The sequence below is a fragment of the Homo sapiens genome, chromosome 4 (genome assembly GCF_000001405.40).
Source record: "Homo sapiens chromosome 4, GRCh38.p14 Primary Assembly".
Classification (NCBI taxonomy): domain Eukaryota; kingdom Metazoa; phylum Chordata; class Mammalia; order Primates; family Hominidae; genus Homo; species Homo sapiens.
The window spans coordinates 142,084,412-142,109,296 of NC_000004.12; the positions used below are offsets into that span (position 1 = coordinate 142,084,412).

General features: G+C 36.1%; 1 protein-coding gene across 59 annotated transcripts in view; it reads right to left on the reverse strand.

The window, feature by feature from the left end:
* The window catches only part of INPP4B (inositol polyphosphate-4-phosphatase type II B), an 823,376-nt gene that overhangs the window by 61,252 nt on the left and 737,239 nt on the right, over nucleotides 1-24,885 (reverse strand). For 55 of the 59 annotated variants that reach the window (NR_169617.1, NR_169615.1, NR_169599.1 and 52 more), the window contains 2 exons: nucleotides 23,682-23,779; nucleotides 1,733-1,845 (listed from right to left, as the gene is read on the reverse strand). Coding sequence is in view for 50 of the 59 variants with exons in the window: in NM_003866.3 (NP_003857.2) it covers nucleotides 1,733-1,845; nucleotides 23,682-23,779 (211 nt within the window). In the remaining 9 variants the exon portion in view is untranslated. Of the gene's footprint in view, nucleotides 1-1,732; nucleotides 1,846-23,673; nucleotides 23,780-24,885 lie in introns of all 59 variants that reach the window. The other 4 variants (NM_001385340.1, NM_001385454.1, NM_001385337.1 and 1 more) reach the window with 2 other exon arrangements.

A 24,885-nucleotide genomic window follows, 5' to 3' on the forward strand; every position in this document is an offset into this window, starting at 1 on the left:
CCTGGCCACTTTATATTTTTCAATTAGAATGTAAAACATTAACTAAAGCAGTATTTCATTAAATAAATTTTTAAAAGAAAGGAAAATAAAATAAAAACAAATATTAACAAAATATTTTTGGAAAATATCAAAAGGAATTTCGGTATTTATTTTAAAAGTATCATAAATAGGCCCATGATTTACAAATAGAATATTGAAACTGAGGCATTAGCTAACAGAAATGCTACTAATCATTCATTCAGTGGTGAATTGTGAGTAAATCATATTTGGTCAGTATACACATTTCAAAAAAATATTTTAGAAATGTGTGGGATTTATAGGAAAACTTTTTCATACATTAAAATGGGAAATTGCATATACTAAAATACACATTTGTGTTTATACATGTGTATCCTTAATTTATCTATTTACATAACTTCACAATGTACATAATGACACATTTATATGTTTGTAAATCATCAGATGGCATGAGTATCAAACTATCTTCATGCCGTCATGTTTTCAGTAAAATAGAAAATCCAATTTATGACCTACCATTGTGAAATTTTTGTTAGAATTAACAACCGTAGTGGTCTTAGAAGATACAAAGAGCAGCCACACTATTAAAAACAACCTTCATGTAATACAGTATGGTGCTAAATGGAACCAGTGTAAATCAGCTGCCTGAAAGCGACATTTCATATTGTTACCTTTGATGTTCTTCCCTGGGGCTCCAAGAAGGCAGGAAGGGAAACTAAAGAAGCTTTCCTCTGCCTTGCTTTTGGTAAATTATTTCATATGGGCTCATGGTAAATTATCCATTCCTTTTTCCCAGAAGAAAGTAAGTGATATTGAATTATAATTGAAGCACTGGAAGTAGGGGAAAACTTTCTGTTTTAAATGCTATGGCTAGAGAATGAATAGAGTATGCAAGAAGCATGGTTAACCTGAGCTCCAAATTATAAGAGTAACACTGCAGAAACTGCAAACATGGCATTTATCATAAAGATCTTTAACATGTACCTTTCCTGATGGAAGGATGCATTCCTAATGAAAGGATGTTTGGGTCTGAATGTTTAACACAATTCATAAATTTCATGTGAGCTATGCCTCAACGGTTACCAGATAAGAGCCTTAAAAATACAGGCTTTTTTTTTGTTATCTCTAATTCTTATAGAAACCTGGGGTGAGAACACAGGCAGCTCTTTTACCCCAAGGGCACCATTAAATGAGAAAGAGCTATACAAAATATAGTTCATTACCCCAAGAGCAATCCATCAGTAATGAATTCTATGCCAACATCTAAATTAACAAACACATTTATAAGCTCATTAACTGAACAATATGTCCAGGAGCCTTACTGAAGCTGTGAATCAGAGATCTGATAACCACATTCTGTTGAAACCATATGTCTCTAAAGCAGCAGTTCAAAATCCTGGGTGATACGGGCAATTGACGTTGCAATACGCAACATCAAGAAACTCACAGACACTTCCTCAGAGTGGAGAACACATCCAAGGTTGGTAAGAATAGCAAGTGAGCAAGAGTCTTTCTTAAGTGCATCTTCTTCTATCTTATGTTCTAGTCTATGGATAGAACTACCAACAAGAGTAAAAATGCCTAATCCATGGACTAATAGAAGATGACACCTGGCAACCCAAAGTGCAGAGGTTGGACCCTGCACAGTAGAGAACTGATAATATTTGCTGGTTATGACATGGCAGGAAATAAGATTTGACATGAGAGTGCTTACCGTTGCAGCCAGCCACATAATTTCTACATTCTTTCTTTTTTTGGATTGGATATTTTGAAGGAGATTTTCTAGCAATGCTTTTAAATCATTTTGTTCCTGAAAATGTGAAATATCTGAAGGGGAAAAAACAAAGGAGAAAAATAAAATGAGACAGTGTTCACATTAAGCTGCCCATGGAGGTTTTTTCAATACATTTATTTGCAAACACAACTTTTCTTTTAGGCAGGGTCTTGCTCTGCCTACCCAGGCTGGAGTGCCAATGGGGCCCAATCTCTGCTCACTGCAGCCCAGCCTCAATTTCCCAGACTCAAGTGATCCTCCCACCTCAGTGCCCAAAGTGGCTGGGATTACAGGAGCACATCACCATGCCCAGCTACTTTTTGTATTTTTTGCAGAGACAGGGTTTGGCCATTGTCACCCAGGCTGGTCTCAAACTCCTGAGCTCAAACAAACTGCCTATCTTGGCCTCCTGAAGTGCTGGGATTACAGGCATGAGCCACTGCACCCAGCCTCAAACACAATTTTATAACAAGAAATATCATTTGAAGCTAAGGGTGTCTGAGGACAACCATACTTATTAATTTACCTGTTTTTTTCTTTACTTACAAATATGCTTAATTCTCTCATTCTCTATTCTGTATAACTATGGTAATATCAAGTGGTCCTACAGTACTATTTTACCAGCATTTTGGACAAAGATGTTGGCTTCTGTCTCACTTTAACAAAAGCATAAGACATAGATGTCATGAGATATAACTTTCCTTTTTTTGCCATTGAGTAGCTAGTCTGAATCAAGAGAATATATTAAATTGAACAACTCAGGGTTGGGAGAAATCTGAAAGTTCAAATAAGACACATGAAATCAGTTGCTATACAGCAAGTGTCCTTGAACTCAGCACTATTAACTTCTTGAATCAGGTAATATTTTGCTGGGAGGAAGACCATACTGTGCATTACAGGATGTTTCACAGCATCCCTGGCCTCTACCATTCGCATGCCAGTAGCAGCTTTCCCAAGGTAACAGTAAAAATGGCCTTCAGACACTGCCAGTGTCTCCTGACAGAAAAATATATCCTGCTTGAGAACCAGCACTATAAAGAAGCACAGATATGACACGGAAAGAGGAAAAACATGAGGCTATACTTCACAGTATGAGATAATTGGGTAGAAAGCAGGAAATGACACTGGTTGCTCAGATTTCTGCATACTAACAACTAAAGCATGGGTAATAAATGGCATACACTTTATACTAAAAACGGAGACAATGTACGTTATGACCCAAATGTCCCCAAGACTTGGTGAGATGGGATTCAATATTATAGTGATAGAAACAAAAAGACTGTCTAAGTGAATGGTTGGATAAGTACTGTATAGTATGAAAATACACTCTACTGTTGAATCCATAAACTGAGAGATAAATTCCTGAGAGCTTTAACTGAGGCTAAAAACAGGAGAAAATAAGATGGACTACAACTACGTTACCGAGTTTCACTGAAGAAATAGATGATGTCTTCCTTACAAGTTCACAAAAACTGACACAAATGAATTTTAGTAGTAATGAGGCTTTGTACTTTTTCAAATTTGTACCAGATGTTGCAGTTTAGCAAAATAATATATCTGAATAGTTCTGGTTTGTGACTTTAGCTCCAGAGGAGAGAGGAAGTATCCCAGTGAACTATACTAGTGATATATATCTAAGAGCAGAAGTGGTTGGTAAGGTGGGAATTTCCATTGAAAATAATCATATCTCATCTTGGATTTTATGACCACAGAATAGAGGAAGGTTGGGTACAATTCAGATAGGTTTAGGGAAGTGAGGTTCAAAATAGTCATATAAAATATATGCATGATTCCATTGAATTTGTTTCTAAAAGAGAAAGTTGTCAAAAGTCATATCTTTACTATATAACTACAGATGATTCTCATACAAAAGAGAAAGTTTGACTGAAGACATCACATTGTGAGGTAGAAGGTTCTCTGATATACAGGAATTTTAACAGGACACAGCCCAAAGATAGCCTAAAGATAAAGGGAAGGAGGCCGAATATGGAATGCCTTGAAGGGAGTTATAAAATCAGACCAGGACTTGGTGGCTAATCAAAGAAGGTAAGGACAATAAGGTTGCTTTTTAATTTATAATCATGGCATGCAAGAAATAAGAAGTCAAGTCCACCATCACTGCTTTTAATGTTGATAAATGGCAACCAAAACAAACCCAGGGGAAGCCATAAATTAGAATTATAAGCAGCCATTAAAAATTATGTACAGGTATATCGGTGACATAGAAAGTGTCCTTGACATTGCTGAAAAGAAGAATTGGCCAGATTAATGAATAAACTTATTTGTGTAACAATGTGTGCTTGTGTGTGTGTGTGTGCACGTGCACATGCATGCCTGTATGTTGGCTTCTCTTGGCATATGTATATAGGCAGAGTGAAACACTAGTTTAGATATTAACAGTGGCCATCTTTAGGCTGTGCAACTTAGTGTAATGCTTCAACTGCCTTTTCATATCATTTTAAATGAACACATATTGCTTTTAAATAATAAGATGATTTTAAGAGCAATGGGGAACAGAGAATGTGCATGAGAAAAAGAAATAACTTAAATTCTTTTTCTTGGCTTCATGGTAGAACAGTTCATTATATCCTGAAGAACCTAAATTCTTACGATATAAAGACCCGAATTCAAAATTTCCACAGTCTAGTAGGGTGGGATGGATATTTAAACTATTATTAAATCCAGGAAAGTACACTGCAGGCTATGACATAACTCAGTAAAGATTTGTGAAGCAAGGGAAGCACTGGACAATTCTATAAGAATTGGTGGGTGTTGGAGGGCATCCAGCAAAGATAATGCTTTGCAGCTACCAAGAGCGTTTGAGGCTGAGGGGAAAATAGCAAAGGCACGAGGCATGAGCCAGTACTGCAGAAACACGGAGTGTGCAGTTCAGAATGTCCTTGGAGTGGTTAGTCCTGGGGCAAGATTTATGAAGGAGAATCATGTTCTGCTCTGCTGGGGAATCTGGGCTTCATCCTAGAAAATGCGGGCAACTGATGAGTTTTAAACAAGGGCTTAACCCCTTCTGGAAAGCCCCTGAGCTTCTTTCTGAAGTCAGGCTTGTACAAATGGCTTTCAAACAGTTTTGAAAGCAATACAGAATAAGAAGTTTCCTTTAACATGAGATGAAGACATCACATCTGGAGAGCTGATACATAACAATGCAATTTTAATTAGCAATACTTTATTATGTATTTGAAATTTGCTAACAGAGTAGATTGTAGATGTTCTCACCACACACACACACACACACACACACACACACACACACACACACAGAGAGAGAGAGAGAGAAAGTGATAAATATCTGAGGTGAGGAAGTAGTAATTAGTTTGACTATGGTAATTATTTAATAATGGATATGTATCATACATCATCAAATTGTATGCCTTAGGTATACCTAATCCTTAATTATCAAAAATACCTCAATTTATAAAAAGAAAAAAGCTTACTTTACAAACATCTCACAGCAGTCATACACACACACCCCTCTGTAACAAAAACCTTATGAAATGATATTTACCCTTAGTGTATACATTGCACTCGAAATTTTTGTATTTCATAATTTTTCAAAAATTGTAGTTCCAACACACCACATTTATTTAACATTTCCTAGGATCAACATAAAACATTTGCAAAGCCCTGAGTTAGGGCAACCCCATGTCCAAAGTGACTGGGACTGAAGTGACTTTTTCACAAAGTTCATAGTCAGAGGAGGAGTCAAGGCTAAAACTTTGTCTCTTAACTGCTGTACCAGTAATTTCTCCCAAATCTCTGCTGATGTTTTTACCATTGGTAGTACTAAAACCAGCTCTAGTATTAACACAATAGACCAAATTCTTCAGAACGCTGAGACTCCAGAACAGAGCATGATTTATCAAAATAATTTTGTTTCATTATAGACATGGAAATGTTTTAATAAGCCATTTTAAACAGACTATAAGAATCCTAAATGTAAATCAAGCACCTGGCCATCCTTTCCCCATTCCCACCTCATAAAGAGAGTGTGTTAGAATACACAGGCATGATGTCTCATGGAAATTTCATTTCCTCTCCCATGGTGTGCTTCTTACAAGAAAAGTAATTTTGATTTTTTTTTTAACATTTTTAGGCCACTATTTCTATTTCTATAGTGACAAAACTTGCTTTATTCAGAGCACACCTCTATCAACCCAATACTTGGGTTGCTGCCATTTTTTTTTTTTTCAACCCAATAAAAATTCTGCAGACCACAGAAATTCAGGTCTGGTTCAGGAAAGCAGTATCATTAATAATAGCCAGTTTGTTAATAGGTGAGGTTTCAAGATGTAATGATAGATCCTGATGTATCAACTGAAAATTGTGGTGTACACAGAACGTGAATTGGTTTTAGGCTTAGACTGTGTCTCCTCAAATGTAAATATAGCCAAAGAGTCTTGCTTTTGCTACTCAGTCCTGCATTATTCTAACACAAAATTTAGACAGGGCAGCTGAGTCTCTATGCATATCTCCATAATAGTATTCTTTTTTTTTTCAAATGGAGTTTAAGAAAGTATTCAGAGGTAAAAGTTACAAGAATGTTTATTGCATTATTGTTTATAATTTTAAATAGCAAAAAAGCTTTAATATGTTCATAAAGAGTAAGAATAAACCAATATATTAATGCAAAGTAATATAAGTAAAAAGGATACACAAATGCCATATGTGTCAACATGGATATATCACAAAAACAATATTGAGCAAAAAAGCACAAATTATAGAAAGATTCATACAAAACAACAGCAATAATATAGTCAAATGTGCAAAACTGTACCATATTTTTATGGATACATAAATATAGAGTAAAATGTGTATGAGGATGCAAAACATCAAATTCAGGATATTGATGTTCTCATAGGAGGGGAGGATTAAGGGTGGTAACCTGGAGGGGTACAAAGGGAGCTTTTACCCTATCTGTAAATATTTGTTTCTTACGAAAATTCCAAAGCTGAGCAATGGGTTCCCAAATGTGTGCTATGTATGATTTGTTCTTTTTTGTTTGAAACTTTTATAATTGCTTTTCAAAAACAGCACTGAGCCAAGATTCCAGGAAAGTGATTTCTAATGCCAATTCTACTGCTGCTTTGACGTGTAGTCTTAGGCAAATTGCTTAACCCTCTGTCCCTATTTCCTCAACTGCAAAATAAGGGCAAGAATCCGGTCATGCGTCATTGACCAGTAATGGAAAACAATGAATAAAACTCTTGGCAGAAAAGGCTACATTATTAAATTCTGTGTCACCTCTGAAAAACAGAAGATATTAGTAGCACTTAAAAAAGAGTTCACAGCCTCAGAGGGGAAGCCTACTTTCTCAGGTAAAAGTCAGAATGTATCCAAAGTAAGAAACAGTCTCCTCACACACGTGCAGTCACACACCCCAGTCACAAACATTCACAAACCCCATGACTATTCTCGTACCTCCCCAATGGAACAGAACAATCAAGTTGAGAGTCAGGTTTTAGGGCCTATATCCTCCTTGTTAGGTCAAATAGGTTTCTTCAACAAGAAGAGCTCTGACTTTGACGACCTGAATCACAGGCAGGGTATTAATAAGTAAACAGGAATGGAACCGTGGCCTTTTAGCTCACTGAACTGTGATGCTAATGATGTCAAATAGTTTCATTCTCTTATGGCCAAATAACTGTGTGGCCAGAAACTGTTCCAAGATGAATCAGAAATTATGGCTGCCTTCCCAGTCCCTAATCTACTCACTTCCCACACTAAGTGGCAGATACAAAATTGCCATGGGATGCACCACACTCCCACTCTGACGTCCATTTGTGTGATCCATACCCCTTGAAATCAAGACTAGTTCACGAATAGACATGATCTAAACCAGTTGGCACTAAATTCTCATCTTAGCAACTGTTTTAAGGATATGCAAGTGGCCTGTGCTGTTCCAGCTGAGTGAAGCTCCTGAAGAGGAAAGGAACCTCTTCTTAGCCCTTTGGTTGAGTGTGGGGTTAGCTCATAACAGCCATCTTTTAGCCACAAGACCAGACATAGGATAAAATTAACATAAGAGATAAGAGCAGCCTAATGATAAAATACAAAGGAGATATTGTTTTTTGTTTGCTTTTGTTTTTTGAGACAGAGTCTTACTTTATCACCCAGGCTGGAGTGCAGTGGTGTGACCTCGGCTCACTGCAACCTCTGCCTCCCTGGTTCAAGGGGTTCTCCCGCCTCAGCCTCCCAAGTAGCTGGGATTACAGGCACCCGCCATCATGCCTGGCTAATTTTTGTATTTTTATAGAAATGCGGGTTTCGCCATGTTGGCTGGGCTGGTCTCAAACTCCTGACCTCAGGTGATCCACCCGCCTAGGCCTCCCAAAGTGCTGGGATTACAGGCATGAGCCACCGTGCCCATCCTGAGATATTGTTTTATACTGCTGAGTCACTGAACCAACCCTCTCTTGAAACCTACCTTACTGCTAGAATTTTCAGTGAGGTTTATCAGCAAGTTTTCTTTATTGTTTAAGCTAGTTTGAATTAAGAGTTTTTGTCATTTGCAATCAAAAGCATTCTAAGGTAAGCAAATTGTTATATATGTATATTCAACATTGACCAGCCACAGTACAAATGTGTACTGTTGATTTAGAATGAGGAAAGGACAAGTCAGAGTATTTCTGGAGGGCAGCAAATCTATCACACCTGCAGTGATGGGTTTAAAACATAGTTCTACATTCTTCGACACTTTTTATTGAAAGACGTGGAATGTATGTCTCCTCAGGTTGAATCTGGGTGGGCTTCTGACTATCTTTTGACTAATGAAGTATGACAGAAGTAATGATCTGTGGCTTCTGAGGCCAGGTCTGAATTGATTATGCCTCTCCTGCCTGATAATTCTCTTGGAACTTGCCGACTGTATTCCTCATTTTGAGATGCTCCCTATAAGAACCCAGCCATTATGCTGGAAGAAGCCCAAGCCACATGGAAGGTCTTGTTTAGGTGCTTAAGTCAACAGTCACAGCTGAGCCCAGCCTTTGAGTGAGGTTATCCCAGGTGCCAGAATGTGAGTACAGAAACCTCCAGATGCCTCCAGTTCTCAGCCCCCAGGTATTCTTCCTTTCATCTGAAGGTCATGGACATCATGGAGCAGAGAGAAACCATCCCCAGTTTCCCTTTCTGATACCTAACCCACAGAATCTGTGAGCATAAACAAAATGATTCTGATTTTATAACAGTAAACTTGAGGTAGCTTGTTATCTGGCAATAAGCAACCAGAACAGAACAGCTACAATAAAAACAGTTTAAAGAGCTTGTACTTCTAAGTATGAAAAAGTTAACATGATGAACACTGCTTTCACTGCCTACTCTGGTGAGTACTATAGTCTGTAACATCAAGTCTCTTCTACAATTAATTCTAAAATAATTATAGTTAACTGTACTAGCAAGCAGACAAATGCAATTAGGTAAAAGCCATTGAGATATCTTAAAACTGAAAATTATGTTGTTTTAGATACTGTAAAATCTTGAAAAATAAGAACAGACAAAACTCCACCAAAACCAGCTTTATTTAAATTGCATTTCCAATTTTCAATTTATGAAGAAGGCAATACAAAAAAATCAAATGTCAAGATCCCATCCTGGTCTGCGTTGAATATTTTTGACATACACACTTTCAGTGCCTTGTCTTAAACAAATTTCAAGGTTGCATCACCCATAGCAAAAGGAAAAAAACAAACTTTAAAAGTAATTTTTAAATTATATCCAAAGCAATATATTAAAAATTCTTCAAAATTTCCTCAATCAACATTATACATTGGAGACCATGGAATATGGTGTTCAGGGAGAAGAATACGACGATAACATATTTTTTTCCTGTTTATATTTTTTTAAAGACAGCATTCATAATTTGATTTCAGAATTTCCAAACAATTTAAAGTCATGTCAAAAAATCTAAAGATGATTTGTTAAATGGCTCTCCAACTCTAAACTCCAGTCTCCTCAAGATGCCTAAGATAGTTCAAGCACAGACGATAGAGCAGAGTGGGAAAGGAAACAGGAGTATGAGAAGGGCTTTACACAAATCCCCAGTTCAGTCTTCTTGTGAGCCAAGTTAAACTGGGTGAACAACTACTTTTGCCCATACTCAAGTGGCCTAGGTGCTGGCACTGAAGGCAGTTTAATGGCCTCCTTTGTTTCACCTAGTCAAACTCCCTCATCCCTGCATTTTACCCCAATGATAGCCCTAGCAATAAATGGCTCCTTGAGAGTGCATTCTCCACACAGAAGTCTGAAAAACAGACTAAGAATGGATTTCTCAAAATTTAGGCAGAGAAGGGACACAGCTTTTGAGGTGATTTCAGTGTCTTACCTCCCTGCCCGTGCAAGAGCCAGACTGCTAGTGAAATACACCAAGGTCAGATGACAGCCCAGGGAGGCAGACACATAACCAGCCCTTCTCCAAAAACCAAGGGCTCACCTTTTCCATGCCTCTCCTGCTGCCTATAATGTGGAAGGAATTAAATCACAAACTGTAAGAAAGTCAGAGAAAAAGGGAGATGGTTGAGAAGATTGGGGCTTTTTCCAATAGTCACAGTATGTGGCCTACCTCTTCAGGCTCCTGGAGGCAAGGAAGAATGAGGTCTTGAATCTTTCTTACTATATAGAATAAGTTAAATTAATAATTTCTGAGGTATTAGGTATAAATGAGGTAAAATACAGGAAGATGATGAAAATAAAGCTGTGTTGGAAGGCTCCAAAATGAGGAAAGAGGTAATAAGAATATGAAACCTATAATTTATTCCATTCATATGGCTCCCTTTTTTGACTTGATGTGGTCTCTGATTTGGTAATCTGGGACACTCATATATTTACAGTTTATCAATGGCAACAAAACATATTAATCTATTAATGTGCTCACACTGTTATTTTCCGACCCACTTGATAAAGATAATTTTATCCTTGAGACTTCAATTTCTCACCCTTACTTAGCCTCTAAGGAGAGTTTCACTCTATCTGACATTCTGTGATGCAGAATTGGGAGAATGATAAAATAAAGGCTGAAGAAAAAGTGGACTGGAAACAAAAGACGTTGCAGTTGTGGTTCAGGGAGGAGGAGAATGGTAAATAAAGAGTGAATGTTTGGAAGAGTGCTATGCCAAATAGCTGAGTGAATTACAGAGTTGGAAAAGTGGATCTAAAAAGTGAAATAAGAATTTGTTAATTGTCTTTAATTTGATGTTTCATTGAAGGTTAGAACTAACGTAGTCACCTTTAATCGTTTTTCTGTTGATTGGACATCATACTAACAACTTCTTGTTAACAAGAAGTTAAATTCAGATATTTATTTCCAAAAGGGATGATGAGTCTCAATATTTTCAGTATCCATCTTACTTTGCAGTGTCAGACCAGAGAACTTATCCTAATGATGATTTCAGGAGCTCACCTATAGGAGCATTCCAGAAAGAAAAAAGTATGCTTTGTTTGAAAGATTATCAGAGAATCAGTGATTTCACGAAAAAATTAAGATAAGTCAACATAGATTGCAAAGACTATAGAAATGACAGAGAAGGAGAGAGGCTATTGGATAGGGATGAAATTTGGTTCAAACAATTGAAAAAGCTTCACGATCAAATTTAACTAGATTGTTGTTTGTTTCTGTTGTTTGTACACAGCAGAAATATAACTGTTGAAAAGCTCAGTGTACCACAATTATCGTCTTAACCATCTCTCTAATATTCATAAGTACATGTGACACTTTTTAGTCACAGAAATTGACAGTGGAAATTTTAATATTAACTTCTTTTCCCTGGTGAGATAATGGTAGAATTTACTTTGAAGTACAAGGTGTATACAAAGTAATTATTCTCATTTGGCTGACAATGAAATGCAGGCATTGAAAACACTAAATGACTCACCTAAGTGAGCTTTCAATTGAATTTATGTCTTTTGATTTCATGCCATTATGTGCAGACTTACTAGACTGGTATACTGGGAGGCCAGCCAATCTTTCGTGAGTAGTAGAATCTGGAATGCAAGAGTTAGACATTCAAAAAAGATGAGAGCCTCAGTGAAGAGAAAATAATGAAGAAAATGTAAGGATGATTGAAAGGCAAGAAAATCTAAGTTTGTACCTACACATACTACAACAGAATAAGGCTAGCTAAAAGATTTGACGACTGTAATTTATGAAGACCACCAAATAACACAGACATTGCAACATAGATAGTAACATAGATCAATGTCTGGTTGGCCAAGCAGGTGGACCTTTGTATATGTATATGTGTGTCTACCTTTGTTGCTTGTACTGCTGTTTGTATTTCATAATTTGATCGTGTCTAAAATTTAAGGGACATTAAAAGTCTATGTAGTTTAACATGCATTGAGGAAATAAAAATTGGATATTATTTCTTCTCACTTTTTCTTTTAAAAAGAAACAGAAGTGCTTCTAAAGATAGTAGTTAAAAAATTCTCTCAATCTTTTTAATGCTAAAAAAGCATTAAAAACTTCAAAAGATTAGTGCATCAGAGTTTCTTCTGCAATGAGTTTAAAATAAATTTGTAATTACAAGTGTGTAAAAATATATGAACAGAAAATAAAAGTATGGTGCTGGAAATATTCCAATATTTAAAAATCTACAATCTTCAGTTCACTGCAGAAGCCATTAGACAGCAATGGTGGAGCAGCAGCATATAAATTAAAAGAACATTTGACTGGGAGTCAGAGAACATGGAATTTAGTCTCTCTTCTCCTGCCAAAGGGTATGTGAATGACCCCAAGTCCCTCATAGCAAATGATGGGGTTGGACTAGGTCAGTATTTCTTAATCTATGTCCTGGGGAACACTTATTTAAAAAATGCAAATGAGGGTTTCAGATAATTTTGTATGTTCCCATAATGAAAAAAAAGCTATTTTAAATAAAATTAATTTAGACACTATAGATTAGGGTTTGCAAACTATGACTTGCAGGCTAACCCCAGGTCATACATTTTTTTATTTTTGTAAATACATTTTTATTAAAAGTCAGCCATGTCCATTTTTTGTTTATTTTATGTTATTTTTATTTTATTTTATTTTATTTTATTTTATTTTATTTTATTTTTTGAGACGGAGTTTCGCTCTTGTTGCCCAGGCTGGAGTGCAATGGCGTGATCTTGGCTCACTGCAACCTCCCACTTACTGGTTCAAGCAATTATCCTGCCTCAGTCTCCTTAGTAGCTGGGATTAGAGGTGCCTGCAACCATGCCTGGCTAATTTTTTGTATTTTTTAGTAGAGAGAGTTTTTCACCATGTTGACCAGGCTGGTCTCAAACTCCTGATCTCAGGTGATCCACCCACCTCAGCCTCCCAAAATTCTGGGATTATAGGTGTGAGCCACCATGCCTGGCCTGATTTGCATATTGTCTATGGCTTATTTTGCCCTATAGTAGCCAAGTTGAGTGGTGATGAGATCATATGGCCCACAATGCTAGAATTATTTACTTTCTGGCTCTTTACAGAAAAACTTTGCCAGCCATCCTACAGACTTTCTCAGAACCTTCAATGTGATAATGTGAATTCCAAAATAATTTCACTATTTAATCCTTGTATCACTCAACAATTATTAACAGAAATAGTGTTACTTTTCATAGTCTTCATTAACTATTTCCAAGATCCAACAGCTTTCTGCTGTTTGACTCTTTAAAACAACCAACTAAATGACTCAACTTATACCATGCATTCAACAAATGTTAATGGAATAGAAACAACGTGCTAGTCCTCCTGGAGCTTACATTCTGGTAAGGAGTCCTGTCAAATAATGTAAGTGACATATTGCATGCTACATGATGATAGAGGCTATAAAAAACTTTAAGAGAGAAGGGTTCCAGCGGGCAAGAGATTGCAATTTTAAAGAGGGTGTTTAAGAAAGGCCTTACTGAGAAAGTGACATTTAGGCAAAGACTTAGAGGAGGTGAGTGAGTGACCTATAAGGGGGAAGGCATTTAAGATAGGGCATAGAGCCACTAAAAAGTCCCAAGAAACAGCAAGAGGTCCATGGGGGGCAGAAGTCAGTGTGGAGCAGAGTGAGGTAAGTGTGAGAGAAAGCGGTGGAGAAGGATCAAAGGATCAAAGGGGTTGACTGTATGGTGCCTTAGAGGCCACCGTAAAAATGTAGGTTTTTATTCTGAAAACAAACAAACAACAACAACAACAACAAAAAAAAAACTAACAACATTGGGGGTTACTGGAAGAGTTTTAGGAGACACATAATGAGACTTTCATTTTAAAACAGTCACTTTGGATGTAGTGGATACGAATGGACTAAATGAGAAGTGACAGAAGAAACAAAGATGCTAGGAGGAAGCTGTTGCCAAAACCTAGAAGAGGTAAGAAGGGTTTTGCACAGGGTAGTAGCAATGCAGGTGGTGAGAACTGGTGGCATATATTTTGGAAGTGGAGCCAGTAAGATTTTCTGATGGACTGGAAAGGGGATGTGAAAGAGGCGACTCAAGGGTGGCTATTTTTTTCCCCAAAGCAACTAAAAGGTTGAAATTAATATAAACGTAGATGGGGAAGACTGTAGGAAGAACAGCTTTTTTAAGGGCTTATCAGGAACAAAGATTAAGGTGTTAAGCAGGATACAAGAGTTTAAGGAAGAGAGATGGGCTGGAGATGTAGATATGAAGATTGATAGTTAATAGCAGGTATTTAAAGCAACTAGGCTGTGTTCAATTGGGGAGCAGAGTAGACATGCATGGACTGAATCCTAGGTCACTCCAACATTAGATGTTGGAAAGATAATGAGGAATAGAGATTTAAAAGAAGCAGCCATAGAGCAGGAGAAATCACAGAGTGTGGTGGCTGGGAAGCCAAGTGACAAAAGAAGTAAGAAATAACTATGTCACACTTGTTACTAGATCAAGGAAGATGAGGACAAGTGACTCAGCATTGGGTTTAACAATGCAGGCTCTTGACAGAAAGTTTCCATGAAGTTACATGGATAAAAGACTTACTGGAATGAGTTTAGGTGAAAAAATGGGTGGTGAAAAATTTTAATTCCACTTTTATCTACTCTTTTTGGGACATTTTCAAACTTAAGCTTGTCCTGCAGTATAACATAATATTCCTCTCTATTGCCAATCCCTTTTACACATTTTTATGTGTCTATGCAATGACAAATATGAACAATATATGAAGAATTCCTCAGCCATCTCGATGTTTCCAAATATACATATGTTTTAAATAAAATATGCAAAATATTTGGATAACTGACTGGATTTTTCATTTATATATTTGGATGTCTACATGGTATGACAGTTGAGATGTTTATAAAGCAAAGTTATTGGAAGTAAATTTTGTTTATTACTATGTAATAGTCTAATGTATAGTTTCTGCTGGAATGACATTCATGTGTTAATTTAAGAAAATCTTTGTATCTTCTTATATCTTTAAACCCTTATGTCTTCAAGTTTATTAAAAATACCATATAAAGCCCTGTAATATTCAGACTATTCTTTATGTTTAGGAAATTTAGACACACTTACTTAGCTTAACATTATAAATCAAGGTAATCTCACATTGAACAGAATCATCATTACTGCTGAGTTGTTTTACATATATGTTTTGCTTAGGTCATTCAACTATTAATATTTGTTAAAACAATAGATAAATAAAAGATGAACTGTTTTAACATTCTGGGAAATTTCATCTTCTTTTACACTCATGTCCAGAGTACAATGCAGTGCAAAAACAACATTTGAAATTTGACAGCTAACTCTATCACATCTTATAAATCCAAGCAAGTGGTTCTCAGGTCTTACTGTGCAGGCAGAATCACCAGGACGGCTTGTTAAAACACACAATCTTGGCCCCACAGCCAGATATGGATTTGTTTGAAATTACTCCTGTATGTGTAAAAAGCAAGGAAAGATACTGAGTAGCACAGGGGTCGATGATGCTGATCAATCGCTGATATGCCCTCATTTCTGTATGTACCATTCCCATTCTGCTCTTTATCACAGGAAACCTCATCTTCCAGGCTAACTTACACTTAACTCTGGGCAATGAGGAGCCAGAGTGAGAGTCAAGGACAGGAGGAAGATAGAAGCCAGCCTGTTGCTTCCCCACCTTTCTGTTTCTTAAGGGCCCCTGGAAGTGGTTATATCTTTTCTATGGCTCCAGCTCCCACTGGGAAACTTTTCCATTCACGGTCCCAGGTTTTGCTAGACAGTCCTCAACAACACTCTAGATCCAGATATACAGCCCCAGCTTTTGGCCTCTGGTGACACTACCTTTGTCCTTTTAGCACCTGGGTTAGTAGCAACTCAGTATTGCTAAACTCTTGGTGACTTGACTTCAAAAAACCCTGCTTAATTTGTAAATTCTTAGACTTCTTGATTTCCTGTCTGGGGCCATCTGAATACTGCCATTGAGAACTTGGCATTATTTTTTAATTTTACCTCAGTATAGCCTAGGCTAATATCCTAACTCAATTGTCCTTCTCTTCCTGATCTTGTTTGCAGGTTAACCCCTTCTTGCATAAGCTTGACCTCCTCCTCAAAGTTTACAGACAGTGAAAATGATGCAGAGAGAAAAGAGATATTTGGAAGGGAGAGCATGATGATGAAGGGGCAAAGTTTAACAGTGCTTTTTGTCACTGTTGAAGCTTAGTTGAGAGAAAAAATGGCCACCTCTGAAGTCACTGTTCTGTAATGTGGAGAGGCTCTCTTAACATTCAGAAAGGATCTCTTTATATAAATGTGAACTGTTCAGAGGAAACCGAGTATTACCATGTAGAAAAATGATTAATAACTTAGAAATTACTGTAGAACCTAGGAAATAGTTAACTTGTGTCAGAAAGTCTCTGTGCTAATCAGAAGCAATCTGATTGTTTGAAGGCCTTTTGTGGGTGAAGTCTGGGAATCCAGGCTCAAGATAAGTGACAGTTTCTAAGGATATAGGGCTCTGAAAAGCAGAAATGAGAAATATCAACCATACCATGTTCTAAGAAAGTGAAAGCAGCACATTGAAATTTGTGGCAGCAATGAACCACATTGGGATGTTGTGAGTATCAACACACATGGATTCCAATTTTAGGTAAATAAGCAGAAAGTGGATTGGTATTCAGATGTACCCTTTTTTGTTTATGGAGCATTGCCCATTTATGTGGCACACACAGCTGGTGCCATCAGTATTGATTCCACCAGTTATTTTTGGGTCTGTGACAGAGCTCATCAAATCACCACTATGAAGGAAATACTTAAGTAGCTTCAATTCTCATCGTTAGATAAAATGTAGTGCAACTCTTCTCTCTGATATATGTACCAACTATATATCAATTTATACTCTGTTTCTCAGTGATATTATCCTTTTCTAGTACAAGGTATCTGTTAACATGTGATACTGATTGCTTTTCCAGTCTGTGGCTTTGGAACAGTATGGAGAGTCCAACAGTGCAGTTTGTTAAAGAAGTCTGCCAAAACCTAGTGTTGATTTCTTCCAGAGCACAATCTGTGTTATAAATGTTGTAGCTAGTTTTCTGATTCTCAGCTTTACCCTCATGTGTATCAATTTGTAAGTTTATTATACATGGAATATGATTCTGTATATCTTAGTAGCCTTGTTCTTTTCTTTCATTTTGAAAACAAAATCTAATAATCTCATTCAGAAAAGCATTATCACATACTTGTTCTGGAAAAATTATCTTGATGTACTAGAGAGTTCTCTCCTGTGTTGGAAAAATTTGGTACATATTCAATGGCTATTTGGACAGAGTATTCAATATTAGGGGTGAGTTGCTCCATTATTTGACCTAATAAAATTCAATTTTAGATATTCCACATTGTACTTAGAGTAAAGCTCCTCCTTCTCACCTGCTTCTGTGAAATCCTCTCATGGGAAGGTTTACTTGTCCCAATGGAGTCCTTTTACTTTTTATAAATTTCATATTATTTTTAGTTTCTATAATTTTCTTTCTAATTGTGCCTTGACTTAAGCCATCTTTGCTCCATGACTCTATATTTCAAATAAGATTTAAGATAAATTGAAATACTAAAAATGGAAAATGCTAACTAAAAATATAAGTTCAAAGGACACAGAAAACCTTAATATAAATAAATTGTGCCCTATTAACTAAATGTACTAAATGTTAGTTTACTTAAACTAAACCTAAGTCCTTGACATGCACTCACAGCTTTTACAAATTATATTTAAGGGTTATATGTTAATAATTATTCTAAAAGAATTTAAAAGGACATCAGAGAGAACCATGGTTGATCAGATTTTTAGTTGGCAAGGTGGATGTGAACAAAGTCTTTTTTTTTTTTTTTTTTTTTGAAGCTTTTCCTCTGAAGCAACCAAAGGAGCGTGAGAGACGTGAGAGAAAGTGTTGTATCAGCAGAGGTCTGAAGACCAACCCCAGACTATATTTAGGATTCTTTCAAAACCTTTGTATCAGTCTTCAAGAGTTTTCTGTGACCTTTTGCTGGAATTCTTTAGGTGTTAAAGGGCCTCAACCAGGTATGGCAGATATTTCTTTTTCCCTGGAAGCCAGAGGACTACATTTACAGTCTCTACATCATATGAGAGGCCTAGTCCTCTTCTGTCTTACGACTTCTGGTTAGCTTTCTGGCTAGTCTCAGGGGGCCTCATCATTGTTACCTCCCTAGAACCTCTCAGCAGGATCAAGTATAGATCCTTTGTCCATAACTTCCACCCTGAAATTTCCAACTGTCTTTAAACATGCATCAATTTACCACCTTGGAAAAATAAAGACTCAAGAAAAACTCTCTCACTTGATTCTATTGCGTTCAGCTTATGTTTTAATTTCTCTATTTGTATCCACTGTTAAGTTTCCTAAGGGAGTAGCTTTCACCACTCTGTTTCTCTGATTATACAACATGCATTCTCTCCTTAATTGCCTGTAATGTGATTTCAGTCCATGCTTTTTATTAAAGACTCCATTAAATGCCGTTAATGAGTCACAATCATCAAATCCAATAGCTTCACTTTCATCCTCATTCTTCTTTCATCAACACATTAGATATTTTTGCTCATTTTCACGTGGATGGTACTCTTCTCATTTAGCTTATTTGACTCAATCTCCAATAATTTCTACTTTTTATGGGATCCTTAGTCTTCCTTTCCTTACACTTATGAATGTTCTCATTTTATAATGTATGTTTTCTATGTGGACTACATAGAAAACTATTCAAATAATTCCCTTGAAATTAGTTATCTATAAAATATTGGGTTCTTATCCTATTTCCTTATTTTTGTAAATATAAGTGATGCAGATGATGTTTTATTTTTCCTGGCGCAAAAATAAAATCTGTGACAATGCATAACTATACAACGAGTGTCAGAAGTGATTGGTAGGAAGTAAAATTTTTTGAACAACAGCAACAACAAAACTAAATTATTCAGAAAAGGAATCAACACTCCAAAAGAGCAACTATTGTTTCAGAAAGAGGTTTAGCCTTAATATAGATTATTCTTTGATTACCTTGAGTCATTAAATTGAAAGATACTACGGCATAGACCGTATCTTACTCATCTTTCATCATCCAAACTGAATAGAACAGACTTTTGCACATAATATTATCTCCACCAATATCTGCTAAATTTAATGTGAGGCTTACAGTAAAAATTGTTCATAAACACACACACACATACACACACACAGACACACACACTACATTCTACATACCCTCATTACAGTACTAAATTTTTTTTTCTAAAAAGTATTTTGTATACAATCCTTATTGATGTAGTTGATGAAACACTATATATAAAACACTGGAATGTCAAATATTATATAAAAAGTATAGAACAGGTTAAAAAAAAGCCCTGTTTTTCTTTCTTAGCTCACAGTGCTAGTAAGCTCACTCTTATAGTGCTAGCATAGGAATCATTATGGTACAATTTCATTAGAGCCGTATGACAATATCCTTCTTCTTTGTTTCAGATAAAGCACAAAAGATATGGGCATTATTAGAGAAAGGACAGATAATTTAGCTGTAATACTTTGACAGTTGGTCCCTCCTCCCTTAAAGGGAAGAGGAAGACAGAAGGGGCTTTATCCACTTCCTTCAGAAGCCCTGAATCATGTATGAGACGCAGTGGTGACTTTAAACACGGAGCAGTTTGTGTTAGTGATTTACAGACGTACTATTTTATTTTATTTCTAACACAAAATGTAAGTGTCTGAATGCTTTAGGTAGGCACAAAAGGGAATGTGAAGGATGTCTGAGATCATCAAGCCCAACAGGAAGATTAGAGTGACAAAAAGGAGAAGCACTAATAACTGCCACACTGGAATTCCCAGGCTGATCAAAGGGGCCAGTGAATATCACAGGTAGGGCCTGAGGGGAAGTAACTTCTGAAGATTTCTTTTGCCTTACAGTCAGCAGAACAACTGTCTGAGAGCTGCATCACATACAAAGGAGATATGGTGGGAGAAACACACAATACATGTGCCCAGATAGAGTAGTCATCAACAGCTTTGTCCATCAGATATACAAGTTGTCCCTTGGTACCCAAGGAGGATTGGATCCAAGACCCCAGAAGATACCAAAATCACAGATGCTCAATTTTCTTATATAAAATGACACAGTGTTTATAAATAACCTAAGCACATCATCCCCTATACTTTAAATTACCTCTAGATTACTTATAATACTTCATGCAATATAAATTCTATGTAAATAGCTGTTATACTATATTTTAAACATTTTAATAATATTTTTGTCATTGCATATTTATTTTTATTTTTTTCAAATATTTCTTATCTGGGGTTGATTGAATCTGCCAACACAGAACACACATATACTGAGGACCAACAATATAGTACTTTCTGCAGATGAAGATTCAGCAAAGATTTACAGGAAAGGAACTTTTGGGATTCCTATATGTGGCCTCTTTCTCTGTAACAGGCACATCCCAGTTCTAGATCCCATGAATTCCGCAAAAGAAAGACAGACACAGAGGCCACCCTGCCCTACCAAGACTTCCACTAATGGTCTTTCTACAGTTGCAAGGAAGATGGGGGTGGAGGATAATAATATTTGAACTTGGCTGAATATTTATTCCAAATGAAACTGAGATTTTAAATAGTCTAAAAGCACTAGACCATGCTAAACATATTGAAAGGGCATGTTGATTGGCAACTTTAATTATCCATTCCCCTATCCGCAATTACTAACTACTAAAGGTTGATGAGTGCTTCATAAAACTGGTAGTAGTTACTGAAATAAAACTATTCCATGTTTGTAGATTGCTGAATTGTGACTATAAACTAAAATTGCTACAAATATAACAGAATTAGAAGACATTTTGGGAAGAATATTTAGTCCACAAATGCTTCTATATGAGAAGAGTAAAAAGATGAGAGCCACTTGACTGGGAGTGAATATATAAGCTAAAATTAATTTATCATTAAGTCCTGATATCACAAAAGTCAGGGATATCCCTTAAAGTTAAGAAAATCTTTGGAGAAGAAACACTTTTTTACTTCAAAAATAGAATTCACCTACTTACTTCATAAATCATTTAAAAAGAGAATCAGTAAATTAATAGTCAGCACATCCATAATGAATTAAAAAGTGACAGCAATATGTTTAAGAAATTAACCTATCCTTTAACATTGACACAAATTATCCCTTGATTTCACTATGAAAGAAGGAAAATAATAGATTATATGGATTATGGATATGACCCAGCATGATAGTTCTTTCCTTCTTAGCAAATGGCCTAACCTCTACTCATACTCTTATAAAAGCTTTATGTTTTTTCCTTAAATAGAGCAGAACTCAAATCATTCTTTGGCTTGCAATATGTCTACAGGAGGAATAAACCCATATGTCATCATAATTGTATAGATTGGAGTTGTACTTTTGTTATGGAGCACAACCACAGCCATACTACAACTCCATTCTGTGTCAAATAGAATTGTCTCAAAAATACAGGAAACAAAATATCAGAAAACAATCCAGTATGTTCAGACAACTGTGTAAGCAATGAAATGCAATTGGTTTTATACAAAATTCCGTCTTGTTTGCAAGGAGAGAAATATATTTACATGTTTTGAAAAACACTTGTTTATATTTAATTGGCAATATATAGAATCACATGTTGTTGTTGTTGTTATTTTGAGACAGAGTCTCACTATGTCACCCAGGCTGGAGTGCAGTGGCACAATCTTGGCTCACTGCAACTTCTGTCTCCCGGGCTCAAGCCATACTCCCACCCCTCAGCGTCCTGAGTAGCTGGGATCACAGACACATACCACCATGCCCGGCTAATTTTTGTATTTTCTGTAGAGATGGGGTTTCACCATGTTGCCCGGGCTAAAATTTTTTAAACTTATATTCCTATGAAGAGTTTAAGTTACTTGAATATAGAATTATTTTGTATTTCAACAGTACCTATACATATTTCTTTAGCAATATGATTGTTTTAAGTATAGCACTGAAAGTCCTCACAGACTTTGCCAACAATCTACTTTGTAATATATATTTTGAGTAAGGATGGCATATTATTAGTTCTCAAACATTAGCATGAATCAGAAGCCACCTCAAAGGCCTATTAAAACACAGACTCGGGGAGAGTTTAGTAGATTCACAGTGTGGCCTGCGAATTTGCATTGCTGACAAGTTTCCTGGTGATGCTGATGCCGCTGGCCTGGGGACCACATATACTTTTCAAGAATTAATATAAGAAATATAATTTTTATCAAGCTACTGACAAAAATTCTGAGACTTTTTTTCCAAATTGTAAGTAATTTGTTAAAAAATAATTAACATTCAAGTTATAATAAACTCTTTTTTTTCATTAATTGCTAAAGAAAAATAGTTTTACTTACATTATTAACTTTTCAGGTAATTAACAAATTTAATACTTAAAGTATGCTTGCTACCAAAGAATCTCCATGTACTTAAATTCATTTTGGCAAAAAATAATATTTGATTTGACATAAAATAATATAAATCATAATATAAAATCTGCAAGTGACATTTTTAACTATCCACACATGGGCACGCATATGCCACTGCAATATTTGGATACCACATTCATTAGGTTATGAAGACATAAACACTCTGCCACCTGAGCTATTTCACACTAAATAACAGAATATAAATCAGTGAGCAAATTGTTCATGATTACAGAACAAATAGTAACGAGTAGACTTTGATTACAGTTTTTGGTTAAAATATTATAATTTTCCTACTTTATTAAAACTTAGCTTCTTATCATTGTGAATATCTCAACATATTTATACTATTTATAGATGAATTCCAAATACATTCCCAGCTCTCTGATTTTGGACTGCTCAAATGTTATGTGCTTAATACGATGGGGAAAAGAAATGTAGAATTGGACAATGGCCCCCTCCAAAACAAATTCCAAATGTGTAAAACACATTTTTAAAGGCTTGGGTGCCTTAACTTTTTTTGCATAAAATATTGCAATACATATATTTAATAAGTTAGTTCCCTCATTCACATTGACTTAATATTATTTTGTTCAACTGGTATTATATCTGATGTTCTCCTGCATGTGTGTCCTATGTCTGATGTTGCTTATAAATGGAGACTTAAATCTTTAGTAAAGTCTTTTATATGGTTAAGAATTATACAAAATTTTTATCAGACTAATTAAAATGTCTAATTATAAGGTCCATATTTTTATTATTTGGCATTTTCCAGTGGCAATGAAATTAATGTCTCAGAATGAACAGCAGGACACATTCAAGAAGGCAATCAAGAGAATGATGCAGGTGTTGGCCATGCTACCTTGGCAATCAGTCTTTTTGGATCAGATAATTTCAAAATCACTCTCACATCCCTACCCCTGCTTCTGTAGTCCACTGACCTCTATGTCTGACCTCTTCTAAAGATTTATAATCAAGAAGCTATTATTGCTGTCTTCTCTAACTCACATACTTACAATCAGGAGGCATCTTTTCCATAAATATCTTGTAATATTCTTGTAGAAGTTCGAAGTTTTCCTGATTAATACTTTCTTGCAAAGAGACATCTCCAAACCTACAAACAGAAAAAAGAAAACAGCTGTGGGTTATAAAACGGTACCAAAAAGTAACACATTTTACCTTTCCTTTTTAAATAGATTAGAAAATAATTTCCTAAGGAAAGAGTCTGTCTCATTTTTCAAGCTACAATTCACAATGGTGATTTCAAACATATTCCAATCTCCACTGGCCCTGATTTCACTAATCGCTTCTAACACCTCAAATATCCTCACAATCATCAAATGTGAACCTAGATAAAATACCATGTATAAAACAACAGTCTCTGTGCATGGACATAATTGATATTAGCTTCCCTATCCTACTCCACACCTCTGTGGCAGGGCTACATCCCTGTATGTGTTTTAAAAAACTTTTCTTACTATCTATCCAACCATCCATTTCACTCGTGGCAGCTGAGGGAGGGGACCAGAAGACCAGCACTGGACACTGGGCTGCACGCAGTCTTGCCCACACTATCAACTGCTGTAGGCACACGTAGAGCCAGATTTCCCAGACAGTAGATCATTTCTGCCGACATTTTTTTCGTTCATACCATGAAGTCAAATGGTTCTGTACACGTAGTCTTCCACCAAGAGGTGTCAAGACAAACCTGTCTACCAGTGTGTCACTAACCTTGTGTTATCTTTGAGAATTTCCCAAGTTCAAAGGTAAAACCCACTTGTCTCCCTATAAAAGGATGCTATGTAAATGGCTTCCAATATGTATCTTCATCAAAATCTCTATTTCTAGGTGTGAATAGAAAATTTCAGTGTGCATTTTCCAACTCCACTTCAAATATAACATAACCCAAAACTAAAACTGCTTCCTCCTTTGAACCATTGCTAAGCATGTCCCCAATATTTTGGCATTAATTCAGGTTCAAAATCTAGGCATCATTTTGGATTTCCTCTTTTCCTCACCTTACCCACTATTCCTCAGTCTTTTCCTATCTCTGGTAACCCTTCCTTTTTTTTTTTTCTCAACCACTGTCATTATATATTAAGATATTTAATCATATCCAGTTTAGACTCTCCTAAAGCTTCCCAAATACCACAGAACTATGCCCCTAGTCTCTTTCACTTCCAGTTTACTTTCTGGACCCTTGTCAGATCATTCAGTCTC